The sequence below is a fragment of the Homo sapiens genome, chromosome 8 (assembly GCF_000001405.40).
Source record: "Homo sapiens chromosome 8, GRCh38.p14 Primary Assembly".
Taxonomy (NCBI): domain Eukaryota; kingdom Metazoa; phylum Chordata; class Mammalia; order Primates; family Hominidae; genus Homo; species Homo sapiens.
The window spans coordinates 43000895-43017600 of record NC_000008.11 but is presented as its reverse complement, the minus strand read 5'-3'; the positions used below and the strand labels follow the sequence as shown (position 1 = coordinate 43017600).

At 40.6% G+C, this 16706-nt stretch overlaps 1 protein-coding gene across 1 annotated transcript in view; it reads right to left on the bottom strand.

Annotated features, from left to right (window-relative positions):
* HOOK3 (hook microtubule tethering protein 3) overlaps positions 1 to 16706 on the bottom strand; it is a 133558-nt gene that overhangs the window by 12935 nt on the left and 103917 nt on the right. The window contains exons 17-21 of the mRNA NM_032410.4: positions 15460 to 15494; positions 9672 to 9754; positions 7196 to 7296; positions 4446 to 4550; positions 4201 to 4272 (exon numbers count right to left, since the gene is read on the bottom strand). Of these exons, the coding sequence (NP_115786.1) occupies positions 4201 to 4272; positions 4446 to 4550; positions 7196 to 7296; positions 9672 to 9754; positions 15460 to 15494 (396 nt within the window). The remainder of the gene's footprint in view (positions 1 to 4200; positions 4273 to 4445; positions 4551 to 7195; positions 7297 to 9671; positions 9755 to 15459; positions 15495 to 16706) is intronic.

The following is a 16706-nucleotide window of genomic DNA, read 5'->3' as shown; positions in this document are numbered from 1 at the left end:
TAAGACAATGAAGAATCCTAGCCAGAGAAACATTAAGAACTGAGTAGTGGCTCATGCCTGTAACCCCAGCACTTTGGGAGGCTAAGGTGGGAAGATCACTTGAGGCTAGAAGCTCAAGACCAGCCTTAGCAAAATAACAAGAAACCCCCTCTCTAAAATAATAAAAAAATTAGCTGGGCATGATGGCATGCCCATAGTCCCAGCTACTTGGAAGGCTGAGGTGGGAGGCTCGCTTGAGCCCAGGAGGTTGAGGCTGCAGTGAGCCGTGATTACACCACCGCACTGTAGCATGGGAACAGTGCGAGAACTTGGCTCAAAAACGATAACAACAACAACAAAAATGAAAGAACTGAGAGCTGCTGTTTAATCTCACCAATGACTGAATGCAAGTAAACTGCTGGGCATAAGCAGAAGCTGGCAGCAAGGAAGAAAAAAGCAATCAAGAGGCAAAAGGAGAGCCAGGTGGAAAAGCCAAACTACGGGATGCAATGAAGGATGTGCAGAAGACAGAAGGCTGGAAGATACATCACTAGCTGGTTTCTAGGGAAAACAGTCATGGCTTTGCATTGTTTTATCTTTTTTCATTTTTTTTTTAGACGGAGTCTTGCCATGTTGCCCAGGCTGGTCTCGAACTCCTGGGTTCAAGAGATCCTCCCACCTTGGCCACTCAAAGTACTGGAATTACAGGCGTGAGCCCATGCGCCCAACCTCAGCTTTGCATTTTTAATACAATTTCAGTCTATTCTATCAACCCAAATACATAATATTTTCCAAATAAGAAAAATCTAAAATATGTTTTTAAACTCAACTTGAAATCAGAGAATTTAAAGTTTTGAATAAAATTGACAAATATTTATTGGTAATCTTTAACTTATACATTTGGCTACATATATTAAAAATTTGTATTTTATTTAAATATTCTCATTTTTCCACTTTCACATTTCAAGCAATTTATTCAAATTCTTCACATAGGTTAAAGACCTCAGTCTATTGCAAGGGCATTCTCTGAGCTACTTAATACCTCTTCCCAGCACTCATCATTTCCATTTCCATTTAAGTTACCTGAGAAGCAGAACTTTCTGAATGTAAGCATGATGGTTTACTTATCTGAACATAACTTCTGGGAGTCTATTTGGAGTTATTCCTTCACTCTCTGAAGAGTTAAAAATTAGGACTATTCTGGCCGGGCGCGGTGGCTCATGCCTGTAATCCCAGCACTTTGGGAGGCCGAGGAGGGTGGATCATGAAGTCAGGAGATTGAGACCATCCTGGCTAAAACGGTGAAACCCTGTTTCTACTAAACAAAATACAAAAAATTAGCCAGGCGTGGTGTCGGGCGCCTGTAGTCCCAGCTACTCGGGAGGCTGAGGCAAGAGGATGGCGTGAACCCAGGAGTCGGAGCTTACAGTGAGCCGAGATCGTGCCACTGCACTCCAGCCTGGGCGACAGAGAAAGACTCCATTTAAAAAAAAAAAAAACAAATTAGGACTATTCTTTAGTACCACTTCACAGAATAAATCATTCTGGCTCCATAAGAAACAAAATATGTGAAGTCATAAAAATCAATCCAGAATATGAGATTATTGGGCTCGGTGGGGTGGCTCATGCCTGTAATCCAGCACTTTGGGAGACTGAGGCGGGTGAATCACGAGGTCAGGAATTCAAGAACAGCCTGGCCAAGATGGTGAAACCCTGTCTCTACTAAAAATACAAAAATTAGCCAGGCGTGGTGGCGGGCGCCTGTAACCCCAGTTACTCGGGAGGCTAAGGCAGAGACTTGCTTGAACCCGGGAGGCGGAGGTTGCAGTGAGCCAAGATTGCACCACTGCACTCCAGCCTGGGTGACAAAGTGAGACTCCGTCTCAAAAAATAATAATAGTAATATGAAATTATTAATAAGGCCTGAAATGCAGAGCTCCTAGATTGCTAACACTAAGCTTCCAGGAGGACAGGGAAGAGACAGAATAGTTTAAAAGTTAGGACTAATTCCCAGAGAATTTCTTTAAATATATAGTTTTATTTTTTCTATTTCTTGAATTTTAATTTTCAAGAAATCTGTATTTGTTTGTTTGTTTTCTGAGACGGAGTCTCGCTCTGTCGTCAAGGCTGGAGGGCAGTGGTGTGATCTCGGCTCACTGCAACCTCCACCTCCTGGGTTCAGGCGATTCTCCTGCTTCAGCCTCCGGAGTACCTGGGATTACAGGCACCCGCCACCACAACCTGCTAATTTCTGTATTTTTAGTAGAGATGGGGTTTCACCATGTTGGCCAGGCTGGTCTCCAACTCCTGAGCTCAGGTGACCCGCCCACCTTGGCCTCCCAAAGTGCTGGGATTACAGGTGTGAGCCATCGTGCATAGCCTATATTTGTCAATAATAGTATTCTAACTCTGATACGATTTCCTCTCTGGTTTTAAAATTGCAATAAAATCTTAGATATGCAGTTTTTGTTTTTTGTTTTTTTTTGAGACAGAGTCTCACTCTGTCACCCAGGCTGGAGTAAAGTGGTGCAATCCCAACTTCCGCCTCCCGGGTTTAAGCGATTCTCGTGCCTCAGCCTCCTGAGTAGCTGGGACTAGAGGCATGTGCCACCATGCCTGGCTAATTTTTGTATTTTTAGTAGAGACGGGGTTTTACCATGTTGTGGCCAGGCTGGTCTCAAATTCCTGACCTCAGGTGATCTGCCTGCCTCAGACTCCCAAAGTGCCATGATTACAGGCATTAGCCACCGCACCGAGCCATCGTTACACAGTTTTGACCAAGGCAAATACAGATGTGAAAATAATATATAATGAAATTTATGAATTTTTGACAAAGATCAAATCACAGTGTTCAGAGGCCAGGGACACTAACCTTTAAGAGGCAGTTATCAATTATAACTGTAAAACAAAAACAATGGTACTGTGCCAGTAACAGAGCTACAGGGTCACAGTGGGATGTTAAAAGGAATCTGGGGCTGGGTGCGGTGGCTCACGCCTGTAATCCCAGCATTTGGGAGGCCAAGGCAGGTGGATCACAAGGTCAGGAGTTCGAGACCAGCCTGGCCAATATGGTGAAAACCTGTCTCTACTAAAAATACAAAAATTATTCGGGCGTGCTGGCAGGCATCTGTAGTCCCAGCTACTTGGAAGGCTGAGGCAGAAGAATCGCTTGAACCTGGGAGGCGGAGGTTGCAGTGAGCCGAGATCACACCACTGCACTCCAGCCTAGGATACACAGCGAGACTCTATCTCAAAAATAAATAAATAAATAAATAAATAAATGGAATCTGGTCCCATTTCTTGTCTTGGACAACTTTTTTTTTTTTTTTTTTTTTTCTGAGACAGTCTTGCTGTGTCACCCAGGCTGGAGTGCAATGGCACAATCTCGGCTCATTGCAACCTCTGCTTCCCAAGTTCAAGCGATTCTCCTGCCTCAGCCTCCCAAGTAGCTGGGATTACAAGCATGTGCCACCATGCCCAGCTAATTTTTGTATTTTTAGTAGAGACAGGGTTTCACCACGTTGTCCAGGCTGGTCTCAAACTTCTGACCTCGTGATCCGCCCACCTGGCCTCCCAAAATGCTGGGATTACAGAAGTGAGCCATCACGCCTGGCCAACTAACATTTTTTAAAAGCAGAAGTGGTCTTATTGGGAAGAACAAAAAACAAAAGGAAGACAGAAAGTCTTGAAAAAATACTTCAGAAGTGCAGCACTCTTTAAAATCCGTAACTATTCACATCCCAACCAGGATGCTGATGAGCATTAGTTTTTGTGTTGGGATATTCAATTTCAAAACCTGCAGTGGTTCAGGGTCTGACATTGTGAACATTTTCCAAACCCCATGAGATAAACTACCCTCAATCAAATACCATCCTGCAAAGACACTGAAATAATCCCACAAAACAAAAACTATTGCATCTGTGTTTAGATGGTATTAATGTCCCTTCTCTTACAATAAAGTCTCTGAGGGACAGAAATTAGACTGACATTTATCTTTCTATCCTCTAGAAATAATGTTTTCAAAATGCTCTAACCCTGTTTACAGTGGTTCTCATAGTTGCTTTTCAGTTCAGAAATAACATTAAGATTCTGTTAGTGTATGTTAGGATAGCAGTTACTTTCAGATTCATTTGGTAGAGTGACTTCTACAGTAAAGGGAATATAATAAGTATTACATATTCATTGAAGTTTTCATTATGCTCCAAAGTACTATTTTCTTACCATATTGTACCAGGCACTAACAATATATTTCTCTTCCATCTCTCTCTGACTCTTTGTTTTCTCATATTCTTTCTAAAAAAAAAAAAAAGCACATGTAAATATGTAAAGATATAAAATAACTCAATATAAATAAAATACTTACAATTAATTGTTAAAACTCATGAACACAATTGTAAAATATAACAAGGCTCCCAAAACATTAAAATCAAAACACAATTATTTTATTGTACAGTATAGTAAACTACCTCTAATGAGTGGAACAGTCGGTCTCGTTCCTGGAGCTGATTTTTAAGAGCTTGTATTTCTGGTGCTGCTCCTTGATTCTGTTTAGGATCTAAAGTACGGATGACCTGCAAAAAATAATAAAAGAAAAATTTAAAAAGTCTCAAACTTAAAGAATGTAACGTTTAAGAAAAGAATGACTATTTTTTTAAAATAAAAGGATAAACTTATGAAAAATCAAAGGTTATCTTACAAGGGTATTTTAAAAAGTAAATGCGGCCTGGAGTGGTGGCTCATGCCTGTAATCACAGCACTTTGGGAGGCTGAGGCAGGTGGATCACTTTAGCTCAGGAGTTTGAGACCAGCCTGGGCAACATAGTGAGAACCATCTCTACAAAAAGTGTTTAAAAAATTAGCTGGGTGTGGTGGTGCACCCCTATAGTCCCAGCTACTCTGGAGGCTGAGGCAGGACGATCACTTGAGCCTGGGAGGTTGAGGCTGCAGTGAGCTGAGATCATGTCACTGTGCTCCAGCCTGGGCAACAGAGCAAGAATCTGTCTAAAAAAAATTAAAAGTAAATGTATGAAATAGTATTAATTGTTGTAACTTGAAGTAAAAATTTTTTATGGGTACATAATATTTGTACAAACATAAAACTTTTTACTTATATAAAGAACCAATTATAAAAAGTAATTCTGGCTTAAAATTAATAAATGCAGTCATGTACCACATAATGATGTTTCAGTCAACGATGAACCACATATATGATGGTGGTCCCGTAAGATTATAAGGAGCTGAAAAAGTCCTATCACAAAAATAACATTGTGTAACTATTTCCTTATACTATTCAGTACAGTAATGTGCTGTACAGGTTTGTACCTAGAAGCAATACTCCATACCATATCGCCTAGTTGTGTACTAAACTATAGCATACAGTTTTGCATAAGTACACTCTACAATGTTTGCACAATGACAAAATCACCTAAGGATGCATTTCTCAGAACGTGTCCCTGTTATTAAATGACATGTGTCTGTACAGCGGACACTACTGACAGTGGTCTACTCTTTTTCTTTCCTCTGATCTGGTCTGCTAGACTTCTGTCTCTGATCAGATACGTACTTTGGGGAGAGGGTCCTGACTGGTGTAAGCCTATCACTGTGGCCCCATTTCTTCCTCTGCTGGCAATCCTGTTTGGGCATGGACATTGGATGTGATTCTGGCTGGCCAACTAGAGGACTACTGGGAAAGGTCTTTTTACTTCTCCACCCAATATTTTTATTTAGTTTTATTTTATTTTTAAAGACAGAGCCTTGCTCTGTCACCTAGGCTGGAGTGCGGTGATGTGATCATAGCCCACTGCAGCCTTGAACCACAGGGCTCAAGTGATTTTCCTGCCCCAGCCTCCTGAACAGCTAGGATTACAGGTGCATGCCACCATGACCAGCTAATTTTTTAAAACTTTTTTTTGTAGAGACGGAGTCTGGATATGTTGCCCAGACTGACCTCAAACTCCTGGGCTAAAGCAATCCTCCAGCCTTGACCTCCTACAGCGACAGGATTACAGGCGTGAGCCACTGTGCCCAGCTCCCCTAATACTTTTACTATCAAAATGTTCAAGCCCATAGAAAACTTGAAAGGGTAGAATAAAAATCCATTTACCTTTAACCTAGACTCACCAATTGCTTCACTGCCATATTTGATTTCTCTCCACACACACACACACACACATGCTGTTACTTATTTGGGAGGCTATTTTAAAGTCTCCCAAATAAGTTATTCAGGCCTCATAATGCATAACCTTTAAATACTTGAGCACAAATCTCCTTAAAGATATTAACTTACATAATCACAAAGCATTATCATCTGTAAGAAAACTGACCCCCTTGGCCAGGCACGGTGGCTCACACCTGTAATCCCAGCACTTTGGGAGGCCGAGGCGGGCGGATCACGAGGTCAGGAGATCAAGCCCATCCTGGCTAACACAGTGAAACCCTGTCTCTACTAAAAAATACAAAAAATTAGCCGAGTGTGGTGGCAGGCGCCTGTAGTCCTAGCTACTCGGGAGGCTGAGGCAGGAGAATGGCGTGAACCCGGGAGGCGGAGCTTGCAGTGAGCCAAGATCGTGCCACTGTACTCCAGCCTGGGCGACAGAGCGAGACTCCATCTCAAAAAAAAAAAGAAAATGGACCCCCTTAACCCCCAGTCCAGGACTCAGAGATGAATGCCTTGATTTGGCAATTAGCAGGGGGCTCTTTTCAATTAGAATGGGTCCTGTGCTCTCCCACAATCCACGGCCTGTTCTTGTTTTCATGACAGTGACTTCTATTCCAAATTTTGAATTTACCTGATGGTTTCCTGAACGTGTTATTTAGCTTGTTCCAATAAACCTTATTTTGCCTGTGAACTGGAAATAGAAGGTTGCTTAAATTCAGGTTAACTATTATTTACAACGATACTCCATCAAGAGGCACAGGATATCGGCTGTCCTATCATTAATTGGTGTTGTTAATTTTGATGACTAATAAGGTGGCAAGTGCCACTCATTTCCCACACAAAGTACATTTTCCTCTTGGTAATTAGTAAGTAATCCATGGAATGACCTATTTTGAGCACTGCTTGTTGCTCAGGTTCTTTTTATTTGTTATAAGATTTGTTCTTCTCCTGAGAGTTTTCTGCATTAAGAAGTTGCTGTAGTGTCCGTCCATTATATTTGAGACTTCACTGAAATGTGATCAGAAGGTAGAGTGAGATGCCTACAAAATTCATACTTACACTTTTGGCTTTCTCTAAGTATTTTTTGTATCGTTCTTCCATTTGCTTCATTTCTTCCTCTTTCTTTCGTAAAGCTTCTTGTAATTCTTCAATTTTTAAGGCTGCAGATGAGACACAGTAAAATATATATATTTAGATAATATATATAAATTGTTATAATATAAATAAATTTATTTTAGATTACCACAATTTTAAAAATATTTTAATTGACTAATAACAAATAGTTAACAGCTTTGAGAGACTGGTCTATTTTTACACATAATTTTATTTTAAAAAAATTCAGAATTTTTTTTTTTTTTTTTACAAAAAGATTTTCTTATAAATAAATAAAAACTCCAGTATGGAAGTACATAAATAAAGAATCCATGAGGGATGAATGGATAAACAAAATGTAGTACATAGATATAATATTATTCAGCCTTAGTTATGACACATGCTATGATATGGAGACATTATGTTAAGTGAAATAAACCAGATACAAAAGGACAAATATTATATGATTCTACTTATATGAGTGACCTAGAATAGTCAAATTCAGAGACAGAAAATGGAATAGCAGTTATTAGCGGCTGGGGAGAGGAAGGAAGGGAGAGTTATTGTTTAATGATAGAGAACTTCGGTTTGAGATGATACAGTTTTGTAGATGGGTAAAAGTGAGAGTTGTGCTATGTGAATGTCCTTAATGTCACTGGACTATACACTAAAAATGGCTTAAAATGGGTGTGTTTTGTATATTTTACCATAATAAAAATAAGTCTGTTCTCTCACCTCTTATCTCTTTATTAATACAAAAGAATTAACAAAATCAAGCTACCTACAGGAGTAAATATTTGGGAAGCACAGGTCTGGATGACTTACATGGAACTACATTATGAAAATATCTTAACATCATATAATATTCATTAGAATACAGAGTTAACGAAAAATTCAAAGTACAATCAGAAAGACATTATAAAGATGATTATATACTCCCTATATGTAAATAGAGCCTATTTCTTTCTTTCTTTTTTTTTTTGGAGACAGTCTCACTGGAGCACAGTGGCGAGATCTCGGCTCACTCCAACCTCTGCCTCCTGGGCTCAAGCGATTCTCCTGCCTCAGCCTCCCGAGTAGCTGGGTCTACAGGTGTTTGCCACCACCCCCGGCTAATTTTTTGTATTTTTAGTAGAGATGGGCTTTTACCACGTCGCCCAGGCTGGTCTCAAACTCCTGAGCTCAGGCAATCCACCCACCTCGGCCTCCCAAATAAGTGCTAGGATTACAGGAGTGAGCCACCGTTGCTGGCCTTCTTTCTTTTTTGTGAGACAGGGTCTTGCTGTGTTCCCCAGGCTGGTCTTGAACTCCTGGGCTCAAGCAATCCTCCTACCTTGGCCTGCCAAATTGCTAGGATTACAGGCATGAGCTACCATACCCAGCCAATAGAGCCTATTTCTTAAATAAAAATTTAGGCCGGGCGCGGTGGCTCACGCCTGTAATCCCAGCACTTTGGGAGGCCGAGGCGGGCGGATCACGAGGTCAGGAGATCGAGACCATCCCGGCTAAAACGGTGAAACCCCGTCTCTACTAAAAATACAAAAAATTAGCCGGGCGTAGTGGCGGGCGCCTGTAGTCCCAGCTACTTGGGAGGCTGAGGCAGGAGAATGGCGTGAACCCGGGAGGTGGAGCTTGCAGTGAGCCGAGATCCCGCCACTGCACTCCAGCCTGGGCGACAGAGCGAGACTCCGTCTCAAAAAAAAAAAAAATAAAAATAAAAATAAAAATAAAAATAAAAATAAAAATTTAATATAGGCCAGGTATGGTTGCTCACATCTGTAATCCCAGTACTTTGGGAGACTGAGGTGGGCAAGTGACTTGAGCTCAGAAGTTCAAAACTAGCCTGGGCAACATGGCAAAATCCCGTCTCTACAAAAAATTATAAAAATTAGCCGGGCAGGGTGGCTCATGCCTGTATCACAGCTATTGGCGGGGTGGTTAGGTAGAAGGATGGCTTGAGCATGGGAGGTCAAGACTGCTGCAGTGAGCTGTGATCATACCATTTACTCCAGTCTGGGCAACACAGCCAGACCCTATCTCAAAAATAAATAAACAGGCTGGGCACAGTGGCTCATGTCTGTAATCTCAGCACTTTGGGAGGCCGAGGCGGGCAGATCACGAGGTCAGGAGATCGAAACCATCCTGGCTAACATGGTGAAACCCCATCTCTACTAAAAATACAAAAAATTAGCCGGGCGTAGTGGCGGGCACCTGTAGTCCCAGCTACTCAGGAGGCTGAGGCAGGAGAATGGCAAGAACCCAAAAGGCAAAGCTTGCAGTGAGCCAAAATCGCACCACTGCACTCCAGCCTGGGTGAGAGTGAGACTTCATCTCAAAAAAAATAAAAATAAAAAATAAATAATTAAAAATTATGTAAACTCACTATCACTATGGCAGTATACAGCAAGCCCACTTAAAAACTATCCTAATTAGGAAAACTCACAGCTGTTGTTAAATCTTGGCTCGAGATCTTCAATAATGGCTCTCTTCTTCTGTAGTTCATTATTGGCCTCATGCAGCTTCTCTCTGTAACAAACAGGTAAACATCACCTACTACTGCTTCTGTAATTTTTTCCAGTTCAAATTAAAGATCTGAGTTCCTTATATTTGGATTACACTTGCATTGCATGCAAGTGATATGAAACATATATGAAAAGACAAAACACAAATTTAATATATTTAAAAAATAAGTAAAAAATAAAGACAAAAAAATTCCTCTGTTTGAAAAAGTAGTCATTTAGTTTAGATAGACCTGCATAAAGAGAGGGTATACATTTTTTCTAGGAATATTTAGATAACTTTGCAAAGGTTTTACCATGCAAAATCTTGTTGCAAAAAAATGAAGTTCTAAAAATAAGAATTAACAAATAGAACACTACCTATCAATAAAAAAATGAACTAATGATATACTCAACCACATGAATAGATCTCACAGAATGTCGAACAAAGGAAGTCAAAGCGGTAACAATGTACGATTCTGTTACGTACACTGATGTTAAAATGAGTGGAAGGTGATACAGATCAGCTGTGTGGCTAGTTTTGTGGTCAATCTACTGGGAGGAAGAATGAAGAACCGATCCGGGTCACCTAGGTTTGGGAGGCCTTGGCAGGCGGATCACTTGACATCACAAGTTCAAGGCCAGCCTGGCCAACATGGCAAAACCCAGTCTCTGCTAAAAATAGAAAAATTAGCCGGGTGTGGTGGTGGGTGCTTGTAATCCCAGCTACATGGGAGGGAGAATCGCTTGAACCTGGGAGGCAGAGGTTGCAGTGAGCCAAGATGGTGCCACTGTACTCCAGCCTGGATGACAGAGTGAGACTCCATCTCAAAAAAAAAAAAAAAAAAAAAAAAAAAATCTAGGAACTTAAGACGTGTACTTTATATGTTATATTCCAATATAAAGGTATTTAAATAATTAACTGAAAGTGAGATATTTTCCCCTGGTATTTGATAATATGTGTAATTTTCCCTTTATCATATTTAATATGGCACTATGTAACATAACTAGGAAAAAAGGCTGCAAAAATGGGAAGATAGAGAAAATCACTAATTAAAAAAAAGCACTTTACGTCTTTCTGATCTTTTCTATGCATGATGCTTTAATAAACCTTTTTCTTTCTCAATAAATTTTTTGAAGATGAGACTTGTATGCATTTATGACCTATGACAAAGAACATATACAATATAACAGTTAAAAGAATAATACAACTAAGCCCAATGAATCACTACCATGTTAAAAAATAGAAATTGGCTGGGCACAGTGGTTCATGCCTGTAATCCTAGCACTTTGGGAGGCCAAGGTGGGTAGACTGCCTGAGCTCAGGAGTTCGAGACCAGCCTGGGCAACATGGTGAAACCCCATCTCTACTAAAATACAAAAAATTAGCCGGGCATGGTGGTGTTTGCCTGTAGTCCCAGCTACTCAGCTACTCGGGAGGCTAAGGTGGGAGAATTGCTTGAACCTGGGAGGCGGAGGTTGCAGTGAGCCGAGATTGTGCCACTGCACTCCAGCCTGGGCAACAGAGTGAGACTCCGTCTCAAAAAAATAAATAGGCTGGGCGCAGTGGCTAACACCTGTAATCCCAGCACTTTGGGAGGCTGAGGCAGGCGGATCACGAGGTCAGGAGAACAAGACCATCCTGGCTAACACGGTGAAACCCCATCTCTACTAAAAATACAAAAAATTAGCTGGGCGTGGTGGTGGGCGCCTGTAGTCCCAGCTACTCGGGAGGCTGAGGCAGGAGAATGGCGTGAACCCGGGAGGCGGAGCTTGCAGTGAGCCGAGATCACACCACTGCACTCCAGCCTGGGCGACAGAGCGAGACTCCATCTCAAAATAAATAAAAATAAATAAATAAATAAATAAATAAATAAATAGACCAGGTGCGGTGGCTCACACCTGTAATCCCAGCACTTTGAGAGGCCAAGGCGGGTGGATCACAAGGTCAGGAGTTCAAGACCAGCCTGTCCAACATGGTGAAACCCCGTCTCTACTAAAAGTACAAAAATGAGCTGGGTGTGGTGGGGGGGGGCCTGTAATCCCAGCTACTTGGGAGGCCAAGGCAGAGACCTGCTTGAACCCGGGAGGCAGAGGTTGAAGTGAGCCGAGATCATGCCACTGCAGTCCAGCCTGGGTGACAGAGTGAAACTCCGTCTCAAAATAAATAAATAAATAAATATAGTTTAAAAACATAAAAATAAAAATAAATACAAATCATCCCCAAAACTTAGTAGTCATGCATGTCTCTATATTCTTCCCAGAGGTAACCAAAGTCAGAATTTGAATCATTCTCATTAAATTCATGATGGTTTTATTGTCTTTGTGCTATTCCTAAAAAATATATTGCTTAGGCCAGGCGCGGTGGCTCACATCTGTAATCCCAGCACTTTGGAAGGCCGAGGCAGGCGGATCACGAGGTCAGGAGATCAAGCCCATCCTGGCTAAGATGGTGAAACCTTGTCTCTACTAAAAACACACAAAAAATGAGCCAGGCGTGGTGGCAGATGACTGTGGTCCTAGCTACTCGGGAGGCTGAGGCAGGAGAATGTCGTGAACCCGGGAAGCGGAGCTTGCAGTGAGCTGAGATGGCGCCACTGCACTCCAGCCTGGGGGACAGAGCGAGACTCCGTCTCAAAAAAAAAAAAAAAAAAAAAAAATTATATATATATATAGAGAGAGAGAGAGAGAGAGCACTTAATTTTGTGCAATTTAAATTTTATACATTAATCATTACGTATTATTCTGACTTGCATCTTTCACTAAACACTATGTTCTTGAGGTTCATCTGTGTTGATGTATTAGCCATGGTTTATTTCACATTTCCCCTATTGTTTGGTATTCTATTGTTTGAATATACCTCATTCAATCATTTTCCAATTGGTGAACATTTGCATATTATTTTTACTTTTCTGTGATTACAATGCTCTTCCATACTTTCTTTTAAATGCCTCCTGGTATGCACGGACAATATTTCTAGGAATCTTGGATATATATAGTAGAACTGAGAGGTCACAGAGTATGTGGCATGTCCAGGTTTACTAAGCAGACTGATGTATGCTCCTACCAGCAATGGATGAGAATTGCCATTGCTCAACATCTTCGGCAATACTCAGTATGTTGGATTTTTTAAATGTTAACAATTTGATGTGTAAAATGGTCTCCATTGTAGTTTTTTTTTTTTTTTTTTTTTTTAGATGGAGTCTTGCTCTGCCTCCCAGGCTGCAGTGCAGTGACATGACCTCGGCTCACTGCAACCTCTGCCTCCCAGGTTCAAGCAATTATCCTGCCTCAGCCTTGCAAGTAGCTGGGATTACAGGCATGCGCCACCATGCCTGGCTAATTTTTGTATTTCTAGTAGAGATGAGGCTTCACCATGTTGTCCAGGCTGGTCTCGAACTCCTGACCTTGAGTGATCCACCTGCCTCGGCCTCCCAAAGTGCTGGGATTACAGGTGTGAGCCACCGCACCTGACTTTTTTTTCTTTTCTTTCTTTTTTTTTTTTTTTGAGACAGAGTCTTGCTCTGTTGCTCAGGCTGGAGTGCAGTGGTGTGATCTCGGCTCACTGCAACCTCTGGTTTCTGGGTTCAAGTGATTCTACTGCCTCAGCCTCCTGAGTAGCTAGGATTACAGGTGCACGCCACCATGCCCCACTAATTTTTGTATTTTTAGTAGAGACAGAGTTTCACCATGTTGGCCAGGCTGGTCTCAAACTCCTGACCTCAAGTGATTGACCTGCTTGGCCTCCCAAAGTGCTGGGATTACAGGCGTGAGCCACCACACCTGGACCACTGTCATTTTAAATATGCATGAGGCTGGCCATATTTGGAGATATCTGTGGCTCCTGTGGTGGGCTGAATTGTGTCTCCTAAAAAGAAAAATTGGAGTTTTAACTCCTAGGATATATGAATGTGACAGTATTTGGAAATTGGGTGTTTACAGGTGTAAGTAGCTAAGATGAGGGCACGCTGGATCAGGGAAGGCCCTAAATCCAATGATTGGCATCCTTATAAGAAGGTCATTAGACACAGACATACAGAGAAAAGAATGACATGTGAAGGTGGAGAAAGAGACTGGAGTGATCTGTCTACAACCAAAAACATCAGGACTGCTGGCGGTTACCAGCCACAAGAAGGATCACAGAGCAGATTGTCCCTCCAAACCTCAAGAAGGAACCAGCCTGCTGCCACCTTGGTTCTTCTAGCCTCCAGAACTATGAGAGAATAAATTTATGCTGCCATAAACCACCTAGTGTATGGTAATTTGACATGGTAGCTATAAGAACTAATACAGGCTCCATCTTCACTAATAAATCCTTTCTGATGAAGATTTTTCACCATGTAAATGACTGCGCACAGAATAATGGTCAGTTGGTAGTTCTATGAAATGACAGGTATTATATTTTTTGCCATAAAGGAATGAGAATTTTTTTTTTAAAGGACAGAATTCAGTACTAAACTCTCATTGCAGGTAATCTCACAAAAGGCAAAAGTAATATTTTCTGTTCTAGTACATTAAGAATCTGCCCACTGCTTGAATTGCTAGCAAATCTGTCGCCAGGAGTATCTTGTGTCTCCCACATTTATCATTTAAAACACAAAAACACAAACTGGATAGCATGAGGCAAATTGCCAGAAGAGAATTTCTTTCGCATCCTAGTAGAATAAATCCAAATTATCTTTGTGGTACTGAGGATGTCTGGTTTAGCACAGTGTAAAGTTGTAACACTTTAACAGGCTATTAATTCACAGTCACTAATTCAATGCTTGCCCGGAGTTTTGCTAGAAAAGGATGAGAAGGATTAAGGTTGTTACTGGGTGCAAGAAAAATTATGAAACATCTCTAATATGGTCAACCTCAGTTAAAGATAAAGAGAGAAGACTTCTTCTTCATGAAAAAAAATATGTGAATATTTTAAAATTTACTTCATCTTTTATACCACAAAGTCCTTGTTTGTAATTCCAGGAAATATTTGAAAATCTACTGACAAGCTTTTATAGACTTTAAAAAATTTACTTAAGAAAGAAGATTAGACTGGGTGTGCTGGCATGTACTTGTAATGCCAGCTACTCAGAAGGCTGCAGCAGGAGGATCACTTGAGACCAGGAGTTCAAGTCCAGCCTGGGAAACATAGTGACCCTGCCTCTTAAAGACCTTAAAGTCTCTTAAAGACAGGGTCTCTTTTTTAAAAGACCTTGTCTCTTAACTTTTATTTTTAAATAAATAGATTAAGCTGGCAATACTTTAGAGCTGGCAAGCTATAGCCCATGGGCCAAAACCAGACTGCTGCCTGTTCGTATCTATAAAGTTTTACTACAACATGGTCACAACCATTAATTGATGTATTGTCTATGGCTGTTTTCAAGCTACAACTGCAGAGCTGAGTGGCTGTGACAGAGACCAGCTTTCAACTCCTAAAAAGCAATTACTATCTGACCCCTTATAGAAAGAGGTGTCTGACCCATGATCTAGAGTGTCTCAAACTCCTAACTATGATTATCACAAAGACAGAAAACCCTGAAGTCTCACTTGAGAAGGCAGTTCTAAAGCAGTCATCATTCTGACCTGAGAACCTTGGGGAGAAGTGACCCTTCAGACTCTCATAATATGTATTATAATTTTCTATTTCTTCAAGGGCCACCTGTGCCAACGCCCAGACACACCGTAACTACCTAACACAAAGCACATGTGTTCCACTATAGAAGAATCAGCCTCAACAGCTTTTATACTTACAGATGTTCTTCAAGCTTCTTTTTTAGAAGGACTGACTAAAAATGAAAAACAAAATTAGTTTATTACCTCACATTTTAACTAAAATAGTATTTTCTTTTAAGTTAAAAGTACAATAGTCATTAATTTTGAGTGAGCTTTCAGTAATTTGTTTGGTCAAAGAGCTGAAAACACACAATGTACCCCAGTTTAAATCTCTTTAATAAAGGGAGAGCACAGCCCCTAAGGGATGACAATCAGTATGAAATACCCACAACCTGGATATATATGAATTCTCTATTTATAGTCGGGCAGATGAATAAAATAGGAATGAAAAAGTCACTTAATTATAGACCTAATATTCCTGGATTTGGCAGGCAGACAGGACCCTAGTAATAATAGACTTCCTTTAAGACACTTATCTGCTATACTATTTTCCTTGAGTCATGATAAAGTATTGGGCCAGCTTCTATAAATATGTCTGACTTAATCAGTGACTTATGAAAATGCACAGGTTACAAATAATTTATGCAGTGGTATGGGAATGTGAAGGATGGCAGATGCACAGCCTTTAATATGTTGGAGAATGTAGCTTTCACTGGGTAAAAAAAAAAAAAGTCTCCTGAAAAGCAGGAGATCAAAATTGACCTAAAAATAAACAATAAAGACATTCTCTATAAGACCACTAAATTTCATAATTTAACACTTATACAGTATATACTATTAATAAATTTTATGGAACATTTCATTTTGAGATAAATGGTTATATAATTAATTCAGTCAAAACCCAATTAATATAGGCTTATAAAACAAATTGTCCAATCAATGCCAGTGATAAGGGAAAAGGAACCCTCACACTAAGTTCTTTTGATAATAATTACCACAATTTTGTATTCACTTCCATTCTAACACAGCTCTATAATACTTCAAATTTCACTTCTTTCCTCAATATGTTAACTATAGTTACCTCAGTAGATCCACATGTCCTCTATCACCGCTTCCCAAATATACAAAAAGATAACCCTGTTACCTTTGTTTTATAAAAAATTAAAAAAAAAAAAATAGAGACAGGATCTCACTTTGTTGCCCAGGTTGGTCTCAAACTTGTGGGCCTCAGTGATCCTCCTCCCACCTCGGCCTCCCAAAGTGCTGGGATTACAGGTGTGAGCCACTGTGCCCGGCCAACTCTATTAACTTTCGATTATTGCTCATTCCTTCTTTAGCACAGGGGTAAAATGTAAATACATTTTAGAAACTTTAATTCTGTGCTT